A 16,569-nucleotide genomic window follows, 5' to 3' on the forward strand; every position below is an offset into this window, starting at 1 on the left:
ATTTAGCTGAGCCTGCAAACGGGCCTCCTCTGACCACCAGGTATGAAATTGTAAACGCTGAGATGGGGTTAGAACAGCTTTTGCCAAAAGGTCCCAATCTAAAGGAAGTAAAGTGACCTCCATACAAAAAGTTTGTAAAACCATCTTAACATAAGGAGAAGTAGGACCATACTGAGTACAAGCTTCCTTAAACTGTTTTAAAAAGGTAAGATTAAGAGGTACATAATGATCATTTGTAACCCTTGGACGTTAGGTGGGTCTAGCGCGACCGGATAAGTCCATGCGTCTAATCCACTTGTTTCTTTGTTTTGGCGTAATAAGTGTTGCACTGAAGTTTGAAGAGTAGGCATCTGAGATGGAGTTGGCGTAGAAGTGACAGGAAAAGCATGTATAGATAAGGGAAACTGAGGGTAAGAGGGTTGGACCGGGATGAGAGTGTGAGAAAGGGGCATTGGAGGAGCAGAAGGAGCAGAAGTATACTGGTGATTACTGCTGTTCACATGTGAAGAAGGGTACAGAGAAGCAGGCTGAGTGGATGGTAAAGTGACCGGTTGAGGAACCGAAACGACAGAAGGGTGAGGAGCTGAAGTGGATGGGGGAGGGCCTGCAGAATTATAGGTAAATTGTACTTTGGTCCCAGAGCCACTAGGTGATTCCAGAGATTTGAGAAGAGAATAATTAGCATATATATGATCCTGGGCTGTGTGAGTCGGGGCTGCAGGAGTTACATGTGCCGGCTTTTCATGAAAAGAAATAAGATCATCGGGGGTGACCGTAAGTCAAAGTCATCCGAGTTAGACATTGAATTCTCTACATTGTCAGGTAGGGGAGGAGTAGCCAGAGGGAGAGGCTGATCAGGTAACGAAGGCTGTGCCAGAGAGGAAGGTTGAGGAAAAGGTGGAGGATCGTCAGATTCAGAAAATTGTGGTAACTGTAGGGGATCATGGGATTGGTATGTCATTAGGACAGCAGGTACCAAGGCCCAGTCACCCCAAACAGTGACGGGAATATAATTCCCTGTGGAGACCAGTTCCTTGAATGTTGCACCAACACGATCCCATAGTTCTACATCTAAGGTTCCTTTTTCAGGAAACCAAGGACAGTGTTCTTCTACTGCCCTGAATAGAGTGACCGTATTTTCCATAGGCACTCAAACACCACCCTGTTTTAACAGGAGTTTAATATAGCAGAGATAAGCATGATGCTTAGACTCTGCATGACCCATAGTTAACCCAGACCATACACAGACTACTCACCACTTGTCAGGGAGTCGAACACGTGTTTCTGTGGACCAAACCGATGACGTTTCTCCGCACCTACCAAAGGGAATCGGGTTCCCTCATGCACTTAGGAAAAAAGAAAGACCACATGGGCACCAGATATTGGGGGAAATTCAGCCAGATATCGGGCAAAATTCACCCCTGATATTCATGTAGGTTCTTTTCTATTTTCCCTAAGCATGCACCAGTTTGAGAAATAAAGGGACAGAGTACAAAAGAGAGAAATTTTAAAGCTGGGCATCCGGGGGAGACATCACATGTCGGTAGGTTCCGTGATGCCCCACAAGCCGCAAAACCAGCAAGTTTTTATTTGGGATTTTCAAAAGGGGAGGGAGTGTACGAATAGGGTGTGGGTCACAGAGATCACGTACTTCACAAGGTAATAGAATATCACAAGGCAAATGGAGGCAGGGCGAGATCACAGGACCACAGGACTGGGGCGAAATTAAAATTGCTAATGAAGTTTCGGGCACCATCGTCATTGATAACATCTTATCAGGAGACAGGGTTTGAGAGCAACTGGTCTGACCAAATTTATTAGGTGGGAATTTCCTTGTCCTAATAAGCCTGGGAGCACTATGGGAGACTGGGGCTTATTTCATCCCTACAGTTTCGACCATAGAATACGGCCACACCCAAGGGGGCCATTTTAGAGGCCCACCCTCAGGGGCACATTCTCTTTCTCAGGGATGTTCCTTGCTGAGAAAAAGAATTCAGTGATATTTCTCCCATTTGCTTTTGAAAGAAGAGAAATACAGCTCTGTTCCGCCCAGCTCACCAGTGGTCAGAGTTTAAGGTTACCTCTCTTGTTCCCTGAACATTGCTGTTATCCTGTTCTTTTTTCAAGGTGCCCAGATTTCATATTGTTCAAACACACATGCTCTACAATTTGTGCAGTTAACACAATCATCACAGCGTCCTGAGGTGACATACATCCTCCTCAGCTTACGAGATGACAGGATTAAGAGATTAAAGTAAAGACAGGCATAGGAAATCACAAGAGTATTGATTGGGGAAGTGATAAGTGTCCATGAAATCTTCACAATTTATGTTTAGAGATTGCAGTAAAGACAGGCATAAGAAATTATAAAAGTATTAATTTGGGGAACTAATAAATGTCCATAAAATCTTCACAATCCACGTTCTTCTGACATGGCTTCAGCGGGTCCCTCCGTTTGGGGTCCCTGACTTCCCGCAACAGAAGCCAATGTTTACTCTCCATCAAAACCCATAGTTGTTTTTTATAGCACTGCTGAGGCACTTATTACGGCCTACCCAAGATCTTATCTTGCTGAAGTCTGAGGCTACATATGATTCATGTTTCATCCCCAAAAGTTAGCATAAAAGACTCCACAATATAATTGCACATATAAATAGTGTTCCTTGATATTGTATCCTAAATAAAAATATAACAAATTAGTCTGAATGAATCTTTGCCCTCAAACTGAGTGAAAGTGGCCCATCTTGGTTGCTTTCTTCTTTTCTGTGTGCTTCTTCGAGCTTAGATCCCTGACTATAGCCTGTGAAAGCCCAGGTTTAGGCCCATAATCACCCCATCTTCTCAAATTGCAATTAAGCAAAGGAGCTTCTCAGAGCAGATAAGGTCTCTTTGATACACCCAGGAGCAAAATGGAAAGGTGAGTTCTCCAGAATTCATGCAAGCATATGTTCCTCTAATGTCAGATTTCATTTACTTGGTAATTTTACAGGGAAGCGTCTAGCAGCCAACACCTTCTGAAGGACGATGTGGCACTGATCTTATGTGAAGCAGTGTTTCCCAACCTTGAATAAATCATAAAGTCATTTACAAGGAAAACCAATTCCTATAGGACAGCAGACAAAATATTATAATGTTATTTAAACATTTACAAACACAAATCTAGCTGTAAATATTATACACTTATAGTTCTTATGCAGCTGTTAAACCACAACAAGTTAATACATCAAATCCAGACAAACTCAGTGAGACAAAAATTTTCAACACTAACTTAATGCAATGAATGATTCTTCTTTGTCAAAATGGAATTTTTAAAAACCAAAAAAAGGTAGACATTGGTAAAATATATAAAATATGGTGCATGCTGCAGAAGAACGTCTACATGCAGCTTGCCTCCTCTGTTACATGATGACATGATTCTCCACCACATATCTTCACCTGCACTACTGCAAAATTATTCACACAGTGTGCCATCACACGTGATGTCACTTGATTTTCTCTTGGTGTGAATGTATTATTTATGTATTACATCTGACTTTTCTTCCTCTCCTCATTAACTCTCAACAGTTAAAATCATATTACTGGATGCCAAACATCAGTATCAAATGCAAATGCAAACACGGACATTGAAATTACATAAAATTGCATAATCAAGAATAAACTTCTATTGAATATGTTTTATAACATCATCCAAATAAAAACACAAAATTCTCAAATTATCACAGAGAACTCTTAAACTGCTATGATTATAAATGTAGACACTATTTTAAGAGGCACTGATATGGGTTATGTTTTATATAATCTTACTTTCTCACAGCAGTGCTTGGTAGATTAAGTATTTTCTGCATTTTCCATGGTGATTGGTATCAATCTGAGATATAATATGATTGTTCCAAATGCTTGTGAGTTTCTTTTCACTTATCTAAAACTCTGAAAATGCTGGACATGGTGGCTCACACCTGTAATCTAAGCAGTTTGGGAGGCTGAGGAGGGAGGATCACTTGAGCCCAGGAGTTTGAGACTAGCCTGGGCAATACAACAAGAACCAATCTCTACAAAAAATTAAAAATTAGCCCAGCATGGTGGCATGCATCTTTGGTCCCAGCTACTCAGGAGGCTGAGGTGGGAAGATTGCTAGAGCCCAGGAGGTTGAGGCTGCAGTGAGCTGTGATTGCACCGCTGCATTCCAGCCTGGGTGACCCTGTCTCAAAAGAGCAAGACCCTGTCTCAAAAAAAAAAAAACAAACAAACAATAAAACTCTGCACAAATCAAACTTGGTTATTCCAAAGTAGTACTTAATAGGCTCTAGACAGTTGTGAGAAAAGGTAGAATAAGTAGAAAATCTTATCAGAGTTTTAAAAAATAATATGTATAATGAATCTCAATGAATTATTTGATTGAAATGGATTTATATTTTCACCACCCAATTGGTTTTTTAAGGAGATAATTAAATATGTTAAATGTTAAGGATGTTTTATTTGCCTCCTTCTCTAAAGTTATCTAGACTCACCTAAAGTTTTTTTTTCTTCTAGATTTGTTACTGAGCTACAAGAGGATTTTTTGGGAGGTAATGGCTTCATTGGCCAAGAATTAAATTCTGGGAGAGAATCACCTTTTGTAAAGACGGAAGACAATGGAAGTGACTATTTGGTTTACCTTCCAAGCCAAATGTTTGAGCCACAAAAATTAATGATCAATTATGAAAAAGATCAAAAATCTGCAGAAATTGCAAGTCTCACTTCTGGTAAGAAAATGAAAAGTCATGATGGAAATGTTTAAATAGCCAGGATCCTCATCTTTTAACACTAGTAGAAAATCAAATAAATTAAGGCTGGTATCTAAAGCAACTTTTTTTAAAGTTCATTATGGTAGATACAACTTCTACTTTTATTGAAATTGAAGAAGTGAATGGTGACAGGCACTGCTAGGGAGATCACTGATAGAACCTCTCAGAAATGTCCCTGATATTCTTACCAAGCTTAAGATTTCTCTAGCATCCACAGTTTAGAAGGTTAGTATGATGTAGAAGGAAGCAGTATAGTGAACATCAGAACAAAGGAGGGATTAAAATGACTTTTTTTTGGGGGGAGGAATGGAGTTTCATTCTTGTTGTTCAGGCTGGAGTGCAATGGTGTGGTCTTGGCTCACCGCAACCTCCGCCACCCGGGTTCAAGCGATTCTCTTTAAAATGACTTTTTAAAGTTGGTCTGGCCAGTGTTCCAGAATTTGTGATAATATAAGAAAGTATGTTTTATTTTTGTGGTACCCAGAAATGATAGAACATAAACTCCCTTGATGCCTACTCTATACATTTTAATGGCAAAGCAATAACTTTTGTAAAAATGTAATAATTTCAAACAAATCAGATACAAAGGAGTATGTCTATATTTTCATTAAAAAGTGTGAGGGGAGGTGGGAATGGGTAATGGGTAGAGAAAAAGGAAAAAAAGAGGAAGAACTACTATTTGATAGCACAACAGGGTAACTATAGTCAATAATTTTAAAAACATTTAAAAATAACCAAAAGAGTATAATTCGATTGTGTAATACAAAAGATAAATGATGATTCTCATCATTCCATGATAAGAATGAGGTACCCCGTTCTCCATGATGTGATTATTATGCATTGCATGCCTGTATCAAAACATATTATGTACCCCATAAATATATACACCTACTCTATATCCATATAAATTAAAAATATATGTATTTTTAATTCCAAAGAGACTATTCAGCCATTCCATCTATGCATCTGGAATCTTCTAAAATGCTTGTTTGGCAGAATGTCAGCATTTTAAGCACTGTTCCAAAAGTATCATATGGTAGTTAGAGTACATAAGTATAAGAGAAAAAGGGGCCAGTTTTGTACTATAATATTCATTCTTAGTAGCTTCCTGGGATAAAATTTTTTTTCTTGGGTTTAACACTTACATCCCCACAATTATTTCTAAAATATAAATACTCGAACCTTATCTTTAAAACAGCTAAACTTACCTTTGTAGAAGCTACAATTAAGGATAAAAAAGACAATCATTAGTTGAAAAATAGGCATCTTAGCTCAAAAAAAAGTAGTGATGCAGTAAAACTAGATACATGTAGTACCATGGCATTAAGACATTCAAATGTGTATTTTTTTAGTTAAAACTTTTTTTATTTTCATGTAGACATAGCCTGAAGAAGAAAATTGAAGATTTGTACTTTTTAATGGATGTTAATTGTGCATGTTCATTTTAATGACATGCAAATTAGAGTAGCCTTCAAGGCACAATAATTTATTATGGTTTGGTTTAAAAAGGGGAAAAAAGAGAAGAAGAGGTGTTTTGGTAGAGGGTTAGAGTATCAAATTGTCATTTGTGATAGCTTTGTTAGAGCTAAGCATTCCAAAGTCTGGTAATTTAGAAGCATGAGCCTTTTCAGGAAAGACAGATATGACTGGATATGAAAGAAATGAAGCAAAGAAGGCCATCTTTGCATCAGTCATTGTTAATGACTGATGTTCAGTATAAAAGAAAGACTTTTCATTGATTTTTTTCAGCTTTCTGAGAATCAAGATCTGTATAGTTAGTGTAAGGTCCCATTTGGCTGAAGAAATAATTGTTCATAGCTCTAGCAGGGAAAAAAATGTAAATCCTACCCCACCCAGTTTCTCCTACAGTGAGTTGAAGTATGCTGAGAGTTCTGGGGATGATTATGTCAGGTTGGGGTAGCCTGGAAACACTGAGCGTTTCAGACAGAAGGATAATGTGTATTTTTTAATCCTTTAAAATAAATGTGAGTCTCAGATCATAAGTGTTTTCTAGGAACTTCGTGCTATTCTCTTTTCTTTCTTTCAATCATCTTTAGCCAGTTGCCAAAAACTGCTGAGTTTTCTGTATAGTGTGCTGTCCTGTAGAGTGAGTTGTAGTTCAGATATTTTATTCAGTCACTCAGAATGAGCTTTGATAAGTTCCAGATGTATGGCATAAATAAAAGGTTGATAAGTTTCATAAGCACCTCCATATGCTGTGTTTGTTACCCATTCATAATCTAATTCTTATGGCTGATGGCTGAGCTTTCTGCTCTTAAACTGAGAGGCTGGGAAAAGTCAGGAATCTTAACCATGTAAGAAATTTTTAGTACCCAGAGTCCTGTGAGCTGGCAATGACTTGTGTATCACCCTCTTTCAAAAGAAGCACAATCATTGACTATCTTCCTACCTATACCTCTTTCTCTTCTTCTCCCCATCTGCTCTGGTTTGAATTGAAATTATCTTCAATTCTACCACCTTTCCTGGCCCTCCTTTTACTTAAAGCAGCCGAAGGACAACCTATATCAGAATTATCTGGAAGCTCATTATAAGCACAGATTCCTAAGCCCTCCTGATAACTACTGTTTCATATTTAGGAGTGTGAATGAGGAGGAGAAAGCTACAAACTTTATAACCATTGTAGGTAATATTTGTATGCCCTCAAGCTTGAGATCAACTATGTCAGTGGTTCTCAAAGTGTTGTTCCTACACAAGCAGCATCAGCATCACCTGGGAACTCATTAGACATGCAGATTCTCAGCACTTGTCCTAGACTACTGAATCAGAAATTCTGGGAGCAGGACTCAGCAATCTGGGTTTTAACAAGCAGCTCAGGTGATTCTGATGTAGGCAGAAGTTTAAGGGCCACTGCATGTTTGACCATTTTGGTGTGCCAGATTTAATCTGTGCTCTCAATGGAGCTGAAAACAATTGGGTATCTAGAATCACAGAATAGAAATGAGAATTTGTGTTGCTAAAGAGTTCCAGGTGAAGTAGATTATAATTTTATCTTATTCAAGAACATCCATCTATCCATCCAACATCTATCTGACAAAACACACTTAAGATCTAAATATGTAGAGATTATCGAGAGATACTAACAGGCTTTTTGAACATAACATCTGCAATATAAAAATCCCTTGCAACATGCAGTCCCTTCTAATTACTTGCCAACAGAATGCACTTTGTTCTTTGAAATTATGTAATTTTAAAATGGGTAGTTTAATTCTAATTAAATTTCAACTATTGACCCACTGGTAAATTAGCACTTTCGCCAAAGATGCTGTACTATGCTTGCAGATGTTTTCTTGTGAAATGTTTTTTAAATGTTGTATTAACCAGTACTTAAGATACAGCTAATCTACCTTCAGAATTAAAAAACAGAATAATTTGTAACGCGTTTTAAGTACCAACCCAAACTCAGCCTAGGCCCTGCTCCTAGCTTTAAGCAGCCCCAGGCCTTAGGATAACTTCAACTGATGTTCGTTTCAATGAGCTCATTAAGAAATGAGAAGCAACACTTGAGCCTTCAGACTAAGCTGGAGTTATGCTTTAGGGAATTTACACAGGTTTTGTTTTTAATTTTTCTAACTTTACTCTTATTCTGATTTATAAATTGTTTTGTTTTTAGAGCCAATATATTTATTTTTTGCTTTGAATTAATCGTAAGATAATAGAACTGGAAGGGTATTAGTGATGACCTGGTAAAAACTCACCTGGGAGCAGCTCTACCCTACCCCACCCGAGGGGATATATTGCAACGTCTGGAGACATTTTTTTAATTGTCAAAACTGGAGGACACTACTGGCATCTAGTGAATAGAGATCATTGCTAAACATTCTCCAGTGTACAGGACAGCCCCTCACAACAATGAATTATCAAGTCACTTTTAAGGGAAATGTTTTAGAAGAAACCTCATGCCCCCAAGTTTATGGAACTGGCAGACTCACTAGACAGGCTCTCTACTTCTACACCCTGTCTGCTGTTCCCTTATTACATGTCCAAGATTCTACTATATTTTTTTTTTACAAATGATAAAAGTACTATTATACCACATAAAAATTCAAATACCAAGTTTCAAATCAAACAATTTAGCAAATTGAGTTTTTTTTTAATGCAGAGTATGTTCTTTTGTTTTTTCGTGGGCATATAGGTTTACAGTTTTATTTAATTGCATATCCTGCTTTTCACATGATATTATGTCACAACATTTTCTATATTGCCATAAGCTTCATACTGATTTTTTAAATGTTCTCAAAATGTTCCTTTTGATGAATGAATGCATGTATTTGACCATTTACTTTTTTTTGAATACTTGGATTCCTTCTCAATTTTGCTGTCATGTATCAAACTTGAATGTATATTTTTACTTGGGCTAAATTTAAATCTGCACTAGAATAAAATGCAGCAGTATTGGCTTCTGAGTCATCCAAGGAACATCAGCTGAATGTTCTGCTTTCCTATCAGTACACTTTTCAAGGAAGAAATCAGCAGCAGAATTGTAGCAATGTCTGGATTTTAATAACATGTTTTATGAAATCATTAAGAAATCTCAACCACTGTGTTGCTCTTTGTGGAATAAACTGAGTCTCCCATTACCTCATTTTAAGCTGTAGACTGAGATGTTTACATTTCCTTTTGCTTGGCAATTTGTTATTAATATTGTCATTATAGTTTTGATTGTCTTCTGTGAAGGTTTCACATGTGAACAAGATGAATGTAAACTGGGGGTTCAGAATAAGTGGACTATCTGAATTCAGACGTACATTGATGTTGCTTCTGTATGTTTTGTGCAATCATTTGTTGCAACTAATGAATGTTCTAGAGTGTTGGTGACATTTTATGTTATGTGACCCTTTCTAATGGAATAAAACGTGGATACTTGAAGTATTAAGTAGGTGACAATGGTGGTGATGGTGATGGAGGCGGTGGTGATGATAGTGTTGGTGCTGGTCATGGTAGTAGTGAAGATGATGGTAGTGAAGGTGTTTGCTGTTGCTGATGGTTGTGGTTGAGGTGGGTGGTAGGGATGGTGGTGGTGGTAATATTGGTGGTGGTGGAGGTGGTGGTGATGGAGATAAAAGTATGAAGGTGGGGTGGTGATGGTGGTAGTGATAATGGTGATAGTGAGGAGGTGATAGTAATGATGCCAGTGGTGGTGGTGGTGGTACTGGTGATGGAAGTAAGATATGATGGTGGAGTGGTAGTGAGAGTGGTGGTGGTGGTGATGGCTGTGGTGGTAGTGGTGACGGCAAGTTGGTTGGATGATGGCAGCCCTCATAGAGGGCTTACTATATGAAAAGACTCTTAAATTTTTGCATGGAGTTTTCCTTAACTATTCAGACATTCTTTCATATAACAAATATGTCTTTGGGTCCTGTTCTGAATTAAGCCCTGAAGTGGACTTTTTGGGGAAATCAGGGAGATTTAAAAAAAGACTCAGACGTAAGCTCTGTCTTCAAGAAGCTTTTCGTCTGTCAGGTATATTCTGTGTGTATAAAAAATGACTACTACAATTCAGGAAGTATTGAGTTCAGTTAAAAAAAAGTGGCATGCTTTGGGGGGATCAATATTTATTCTATGCAGGACACCTTTCAAAGTATTGCATACACTGTATCACTTGACTGATGAACAATGAATGAGGAATAATAGTAATCACAGAAGCTACTGCTTATTGAGGGCAACCATGGGCCAGCCACCATATAAGCACTTTATAGACATTATTTTATTTAATCTTTATTAAATTAAATCTATCATTATTTCCTTTTACAAATGAAGACACTGATGCAAAGGTTAAGAACCTCACACAAATTCATGTAGCTTGTAAGTGGCAGAGGCAGGATCCAAAAACATGACCTTCAACACAAAAACATGGACTTTTAACAATGTATGCCATGTTGCCTGGTGATGGTCATTTCTGCATTTACAAATGAGGAGATATATCCAATGGCCAAATTTGAATATAAACTAAATCATGTAAAATCATGTAATCATTTGGGAGAATTATTTTAAAATAGTTTTGGTGGCACAATTCTATTTTTAAATTTAAATTAACTTTTTTTTTTTTAAAAAAAACCTTCTTATAAACTCATCCAGAGGCATGGAGCACAGAATAACTCCATTAAAACCAACAAGCCATATCCGAGGTCATTTGGGTGTAAATGACTCCTAAGGCATGCATTGCCTTTTCTCAGTGTGCTGGTCCCTTTCTGCAGACTACTGTTTCAGAGTGTGAAATGACCCACAAGGCTCACTTTTATCATCTAAATGCCACCTAGAAAAGTCTAGGCCAAAAAGACATGAATTCTAAGTCTTCGGAGAAAAGGATGAAGTCTATTTTAAGACAGTCATTCCTACTTATTCAGGTAGATGAGGGAAGAGGACTTCAAACAGCAAAACAAGATAATTTTTAATGTGTCTATATTTCCCTTAGGCATAAAATCGATGACATCCATCAGATACATACATATTTGTGCCTGCCTCCTTTGTTGCCCCAACACGTGCCTTTAGAACTTGACCAGTGACTTTACCAGACAGGAAGGGTGATGGGCCTGGGCTGGCAGTGATAAGTGGAGAGGGGTATGAATGATTGCCTACTCCTTGAAGTTAAGCATGCGTCAGCACAACAGAATGAGAGTTCTCGTTTCTGAGAGCATCTGTACACTTGTGCATGTGTCTGTAAGCTAGACCAGCTGACTTTGCTTTTTTCGTGGAAGTCCTGGTTTGGATAATATACTGTCATGGGAAGGATTTTCAGATGCCTGAGACTTTTCTTTGTTTCTTTCTAAAAATTATATTTGTGGAGTAATTAGGATATGCACAGCATGGTGCAAACTTTAATTTTCTCAAAAACCTTGTAAGATTGTAGTATATTGTTACATATATTTAAGATAATGAAATTGAGGCATGGAGAAAACTCAAGGTCACAAAGTTAACAGATGACAGAGGCAGGACTGAAACTCTGAATATTCTGCTGATAATCACTGTTCTACAATGCCTAAGAAGAGAAAAATTACAAATTGCATTTAGTTCGTATATAGTTGCTTACTTTTGGAAGAAAACGTTCTCTGGTGGCTTCAATCAGAAGGAACAGCCATTGGCTGAGAAGCACATTTTTCACACCAGGTCCCAGGGCCTTAAGTGAGCTGGTTGATGGGTCCTTTCATGTTTCTGCTAGAATCTCATCTCTAATGACCAGTTCTTCTGAAGGAGCTAGACAAAGCTGGGTTCAAATCCTGCCTCTACCACTTATCAGCCATCCTTTCTTAGCCAACTCATTCACCCTTGCCAAGCACTGGTTTGCTCATCTGTAAAATGGAAATGATGATTATTCTGCCCTCATAGTGCTTCAAGGAAGATTAAATGAAAGAAGACAAGCGTAGAGCTGAGCACAAGACCCGAAGCAAACTGAGTGTTTGATTAAATACTAAGAAAGTAGAAAAGCCAAAAGAAAGTACTGCTAATCTCATGGGAAGTCATTGTAAAAAATGTCAACTTGAAAAATATTAGCTACAGTTCATCTGGACAGAACCTCACACATCAAGTAGCCTCAATTGTACATGTGGCTTGCCTATGAAGAACACATGGTTAATTTTGGCCCCTGAACAAATTTCAAATTTCAAAGCAGGCCACTGGATAACTCATGCATATCTTGAGATTTCCCACAAATGCCATGAAAGGCAGCATAGCAGCCTGACAGCATATCTAATCCCAGTCCAGATGGCCCAAGTCCTTCAGAGTCTCCCTTCTCTAAGTTTCCTTTCCACCCCCGCTTCTCCCTAATGTTACTGGAGCACATTTGGTGTTGTGGCTTAAGTCATTGGCCAAAGTCAGGCTACTCTCTGGGGGTGCTTCCCTGGAAATTCTGCTGAATCCCTAATTCCTTCCAAATCTTGCCCATAGGAAAGCAAGCCAGCTCCCCTTCCTCTGCCATTCTAAGGAAATTCTTTCACAGAGTTGAAGATGAGAATTTGGCTGGGTTGACATTTCCAGAAAATACACAGCGCCATTGTGAGCTATGGATATATTTTATCCACACTTCTGCCAGATTATCTTGAAAGAAAATATTTTTGAAGACCTTGTCTCCCTAAGTAAGATGAATTTAGACTCCAAGTAGAATAATCACACCTTTGACTAAATTTTAGAGTTTTCAAGGTACATCATCCACATTTAGCTTCTGTGATTCTCATGCTAGTCCTATAAGTTGGGAGGTAACCTATTTTTAGACATTTTGTAGATGAAATATACCTCTTTAGAAAATAGTTCTGAGGGGTATTTTAGAAAAGGATTGAGATTTTGCTTATTTATAAAGAGAAAACTGGAAAAACAGTAATATTTTTGATATGGGCTTGCAGAAAACAATATTTCACTGACATGGTAAGTTAATTATTTTGCTTCTACTAGAACATTTATGAAATTCTTTTTCTTTTTCATTCTTTTTAGAGATAGGATTTTGCTCTGTTGCCCAGGCTGGAATGCAGTGGTGTGGTCACAGCTCAGTGCAGCCTGAAACTCCTGGGTTCAAGCGATCCTCCTGCATAAGCCTCTCAATAGTAGCTGAGACTAGAGGCACACACCACTACACCCAGCTAATTTTTAAAATTTTCTGCAGAGATGAGTCCACTATGTTGCCCAGGCTTATTTTGAACCCCTGGCCTCAAGCGATCCTCCCACCTCTGCCTCTTAAAGTGTTGAGATTACAGGCATGAGCCACCACACCCAGCAATGCTTTTCTTTATGTTTAACAAAGTGTGTTGGTTGGCCTTTTTAAAGAAATTGAAATACTGTAGTTGAAAAACAGAGATCATGGTAACATCTCAGGTAATGGTTAGTCAACTTCAAAACTCCAAAAAGGATCACAAACTCCAAAAAGTTAGAAATGTTCATTTAATTAATCTTCACAATTCCTAACACACTATGGCTGAGAACTCTAGAAGTGTTTTTGGTGGTGATGTGCAAAGAATACAAAATATGTGCTGTGGTCTGCACTTCTAGTTTCATGTTTTGTTGTTTAATCAGGGACCTCAATCTTGACCAGGAATTCTAAGAGTTTGCCACTGGGTTCCTGGTGGAGAGTAGGAGGCCCATAAATTTCAAACATGCTTGTGTGATGCAAAATCCTGGTCAATTACTATAAATGTATGTATTGATAAAGGAAGAATGTGGTGTATATATGACCAGTTCTTAGTCCTTTGCAAGAAGCAAAAGAAGCATCTCAAACAAGATGGTCAGTTGTCATCTTTTAGAACTGCCCAAGATGGAGTAAAGAAGTTGGATTTACCTCACAACTGTAATAAACAAAAGAAAGCAAACAAAACATTTGAAATAACAACTTTTAAGACACTGGACATTAGGAAATGAAATACAGTAATCTTTAGAGAAGGAAAACAAATGAGATGAACACTACAAGTGCTCCAGCTTATAGCCTTGAGTGTTTTCAGGACATGGTACAAGAAGAGGGCATTGAGGAGGAGCCCAGTGAGCTCCTGGAGCTGAGGAGTCAGAGCTGAGAGAACAGGGAGACCAAGGCAGTGAGAGCTGACAGGGTGGGATACCAGAGAGGGATAACTGTACAGAGAGTAAACCCCAGAGGTCTGTGGAGGGTCTCGCTGGGTTATTCAGGAAAGTATTGACAGCACATGCATGTGAAGGAATTACCTGAGACCAGGGAAAGAACCCTCTTAAAATAGTGCCATTTGCTCAACAGGGCTAGGAATCATGTTTTTTTTCCCACCAGCAAGCCTGGAAAAGAACATAATTCACATAGTAATGGGGAGAAAACTTAGGAAGGTCTTGGCTCAGTAATAGGAAATAATTAGCCCTGAATTAACCACTGCTTTAGACTCATCTAGCAAATCATAATAGCAAGATCCAAAAGGATCAGACTCTTTCCATGCAACTTAACTGCCTTCCAGAACTAAGCACATGGATATTTACAAGAATACAAAAGTATTTCACACTTAACAAGGAAAATTTCACAATGTCTGGCATAAGAAGCAGAAAAGCACAAAACATAATGAAGAGTATAATCACTTAAAACCAAACCACAACGGACACAGATGTTAGAATTAGCAAAGATATCAAACCAGTCATTGTAACGGTATTCAATATGTTAAAAAGTTAAGTGGAAACATGAAAGATATAAAAAGAAGATTCCAATAGAATTTGCAGGGTTGAAAACCATTGTGTCTAAGAGGAACAATGCACTGAATGGGATAATGGCAAATTAGATTTGGCAAAACAAAAAGATTGGCAAACTTGAAAACATAGCAATAGAAATTCTCCAAAATGAAATACAAAGAAAAAAAGATATAAAAAATGAAAAGAGTATTAGTTAGTTTCAGGATCTTCTCCCAATCATTGATTAAAAATCAGCAGGAATATAGTAGGCTTGAGCAACACTATCAACTAACTTGACCTAACTGACATTTGTAGAACACTCCACCAACAGTAGAATATATAATCTTTTCAAGTGCACATGAAACATTTACCAAGATAGACCATATTGTGGACCATAAAACAATGCTCAACATTTTAAAGGATTCAAGTGATAGCAAATGTGTTCTCTGACTGAAACAGAATTAAATTAGAAATCAATAGCAGAAAGATCTTTGAAAACTCCCTAAGTATTTGGAAACTAAATAAAGCAGTTTTAAATAGTCCATGGTCAAAGAATAAATAAAAAGGGACATTAGAAAGTATAATATTTTGAAATAAAAGAAAATAAAATCACTGTGCCAGAATTTCAGGTTCCACTTAAGCAGTACTTACGGGAAAATAAATAGCATTAAATGCCTATATTGACAAAGAAGAAATGTTTCAAATCAATGATCACAACTTCTACCTTAAGAAATCAGAGAAGGAAGAACTAGATAAACCCAAGGTAAGTGGGAGAAAGAAAATAATGAAAATAAAGTGGAATTCAGTGAAATTGAAAAAAGAAAAACAATGAAGTCAATAAACCCAAAAGTTGTTTCTTTGAGAAGATCAATAAAATTGATAAATGTATAATTAAACTCACCAGGAACAAAGAGAAGACACAACTTTCCAATATCAGAAATGAGAGGGGAGATGTATTCCAAGGATATTAAAAGGATAACCAGGGAATATTATGAACAATCTTTTGCATATAAATCAGCTTAGGTAAAATACACAAATTTCTTGCAATGTATAAACTACCAAAGCTTACTCAAGAAGAAATAACCTAAGTAGCCTTATACCTATTAATGAGATTGAATTTGTAGTTCAAATCTTCCCATAAAGAAAACTCCAGGTATGGATGATTTCACTGGTGAATTCAACTAAAAATTTAAGGAAGAAATAATACCAATTCTACAAAAACTCTTCCAGAACATAAAAGAAAAGGGAATATTTCACAACTGACTTACTTCATTTTATTATTTTTAATTTTTATGAATACATAATAGTTGTACATATTTTTGGGGTACATGTGATATTTTGATAGAAGCAGTCAATGTGTAATGATCAAATCTGGATAATTGGGATATCTGCGAATAACATGGTGGTTAACAGAAGCTAGGAAGGCTAATAGGGAGGGGGGAATAAAGAAGAGCTGGTTAATGGGCACAAAATACTTATTAGAAGGAATAAGATCTAGTGTTCTCATGGTTAATAATAATTTATTATATATTTTAAAGTTAACACCAGTTAACAATAATTTATTGCATATTTCAAAATAGCTAGAAGAGTAGATTTGGAATGTTCCCAACTCATTTTTTGAGGCCAGATTACCCTGATACCAAAACTAGACGAAGACATTACATGA

The 16,569-nt window shown here is 37.4% G+C and overlaps 1 protein-coding gene across 3 annotated transcripts in view; it reads left to right on the top strand.

Annotated features, from left to right (window-relative positions):
• COL6A5 (collagen type VI alpha 5 chain) overlaps positions 1-16,569 on the top strand; it is a 139,175-nt gene that overhangs the window by 105,253 nt on the left and 17,353 nt on the right. For all 3 annotated transcript variants that reach the window (NR_022012.3, NM_001278298.2, NM_153264.7), the window contains exon 37: positions 4,531-4,742. Coding sequence is in view for 2 of the 3 variants with exons in the window: in NM_001278298.2 (NP_001265227.1) it covers positions 4,531-4,742 (212 nt within the window). In the remaining variant the exon portion in view is untranslated. The remainder of the gene's footprint in view (positions 1-4,530; positions 4,743-16,569) is intronic.

This window comes from Homo sapiens, chromosome 3 (genome assembly GCF_000001405.40).
Source record: "Homo sapiens chromosome 3, GRCh38.p14 Primary Assembly".
NCBI classification, from domain to species: Eukaryota; Metazoa; Chordata; class Mammalia; order Primates; family Hominidae; genus Homo; species Homo sapiens.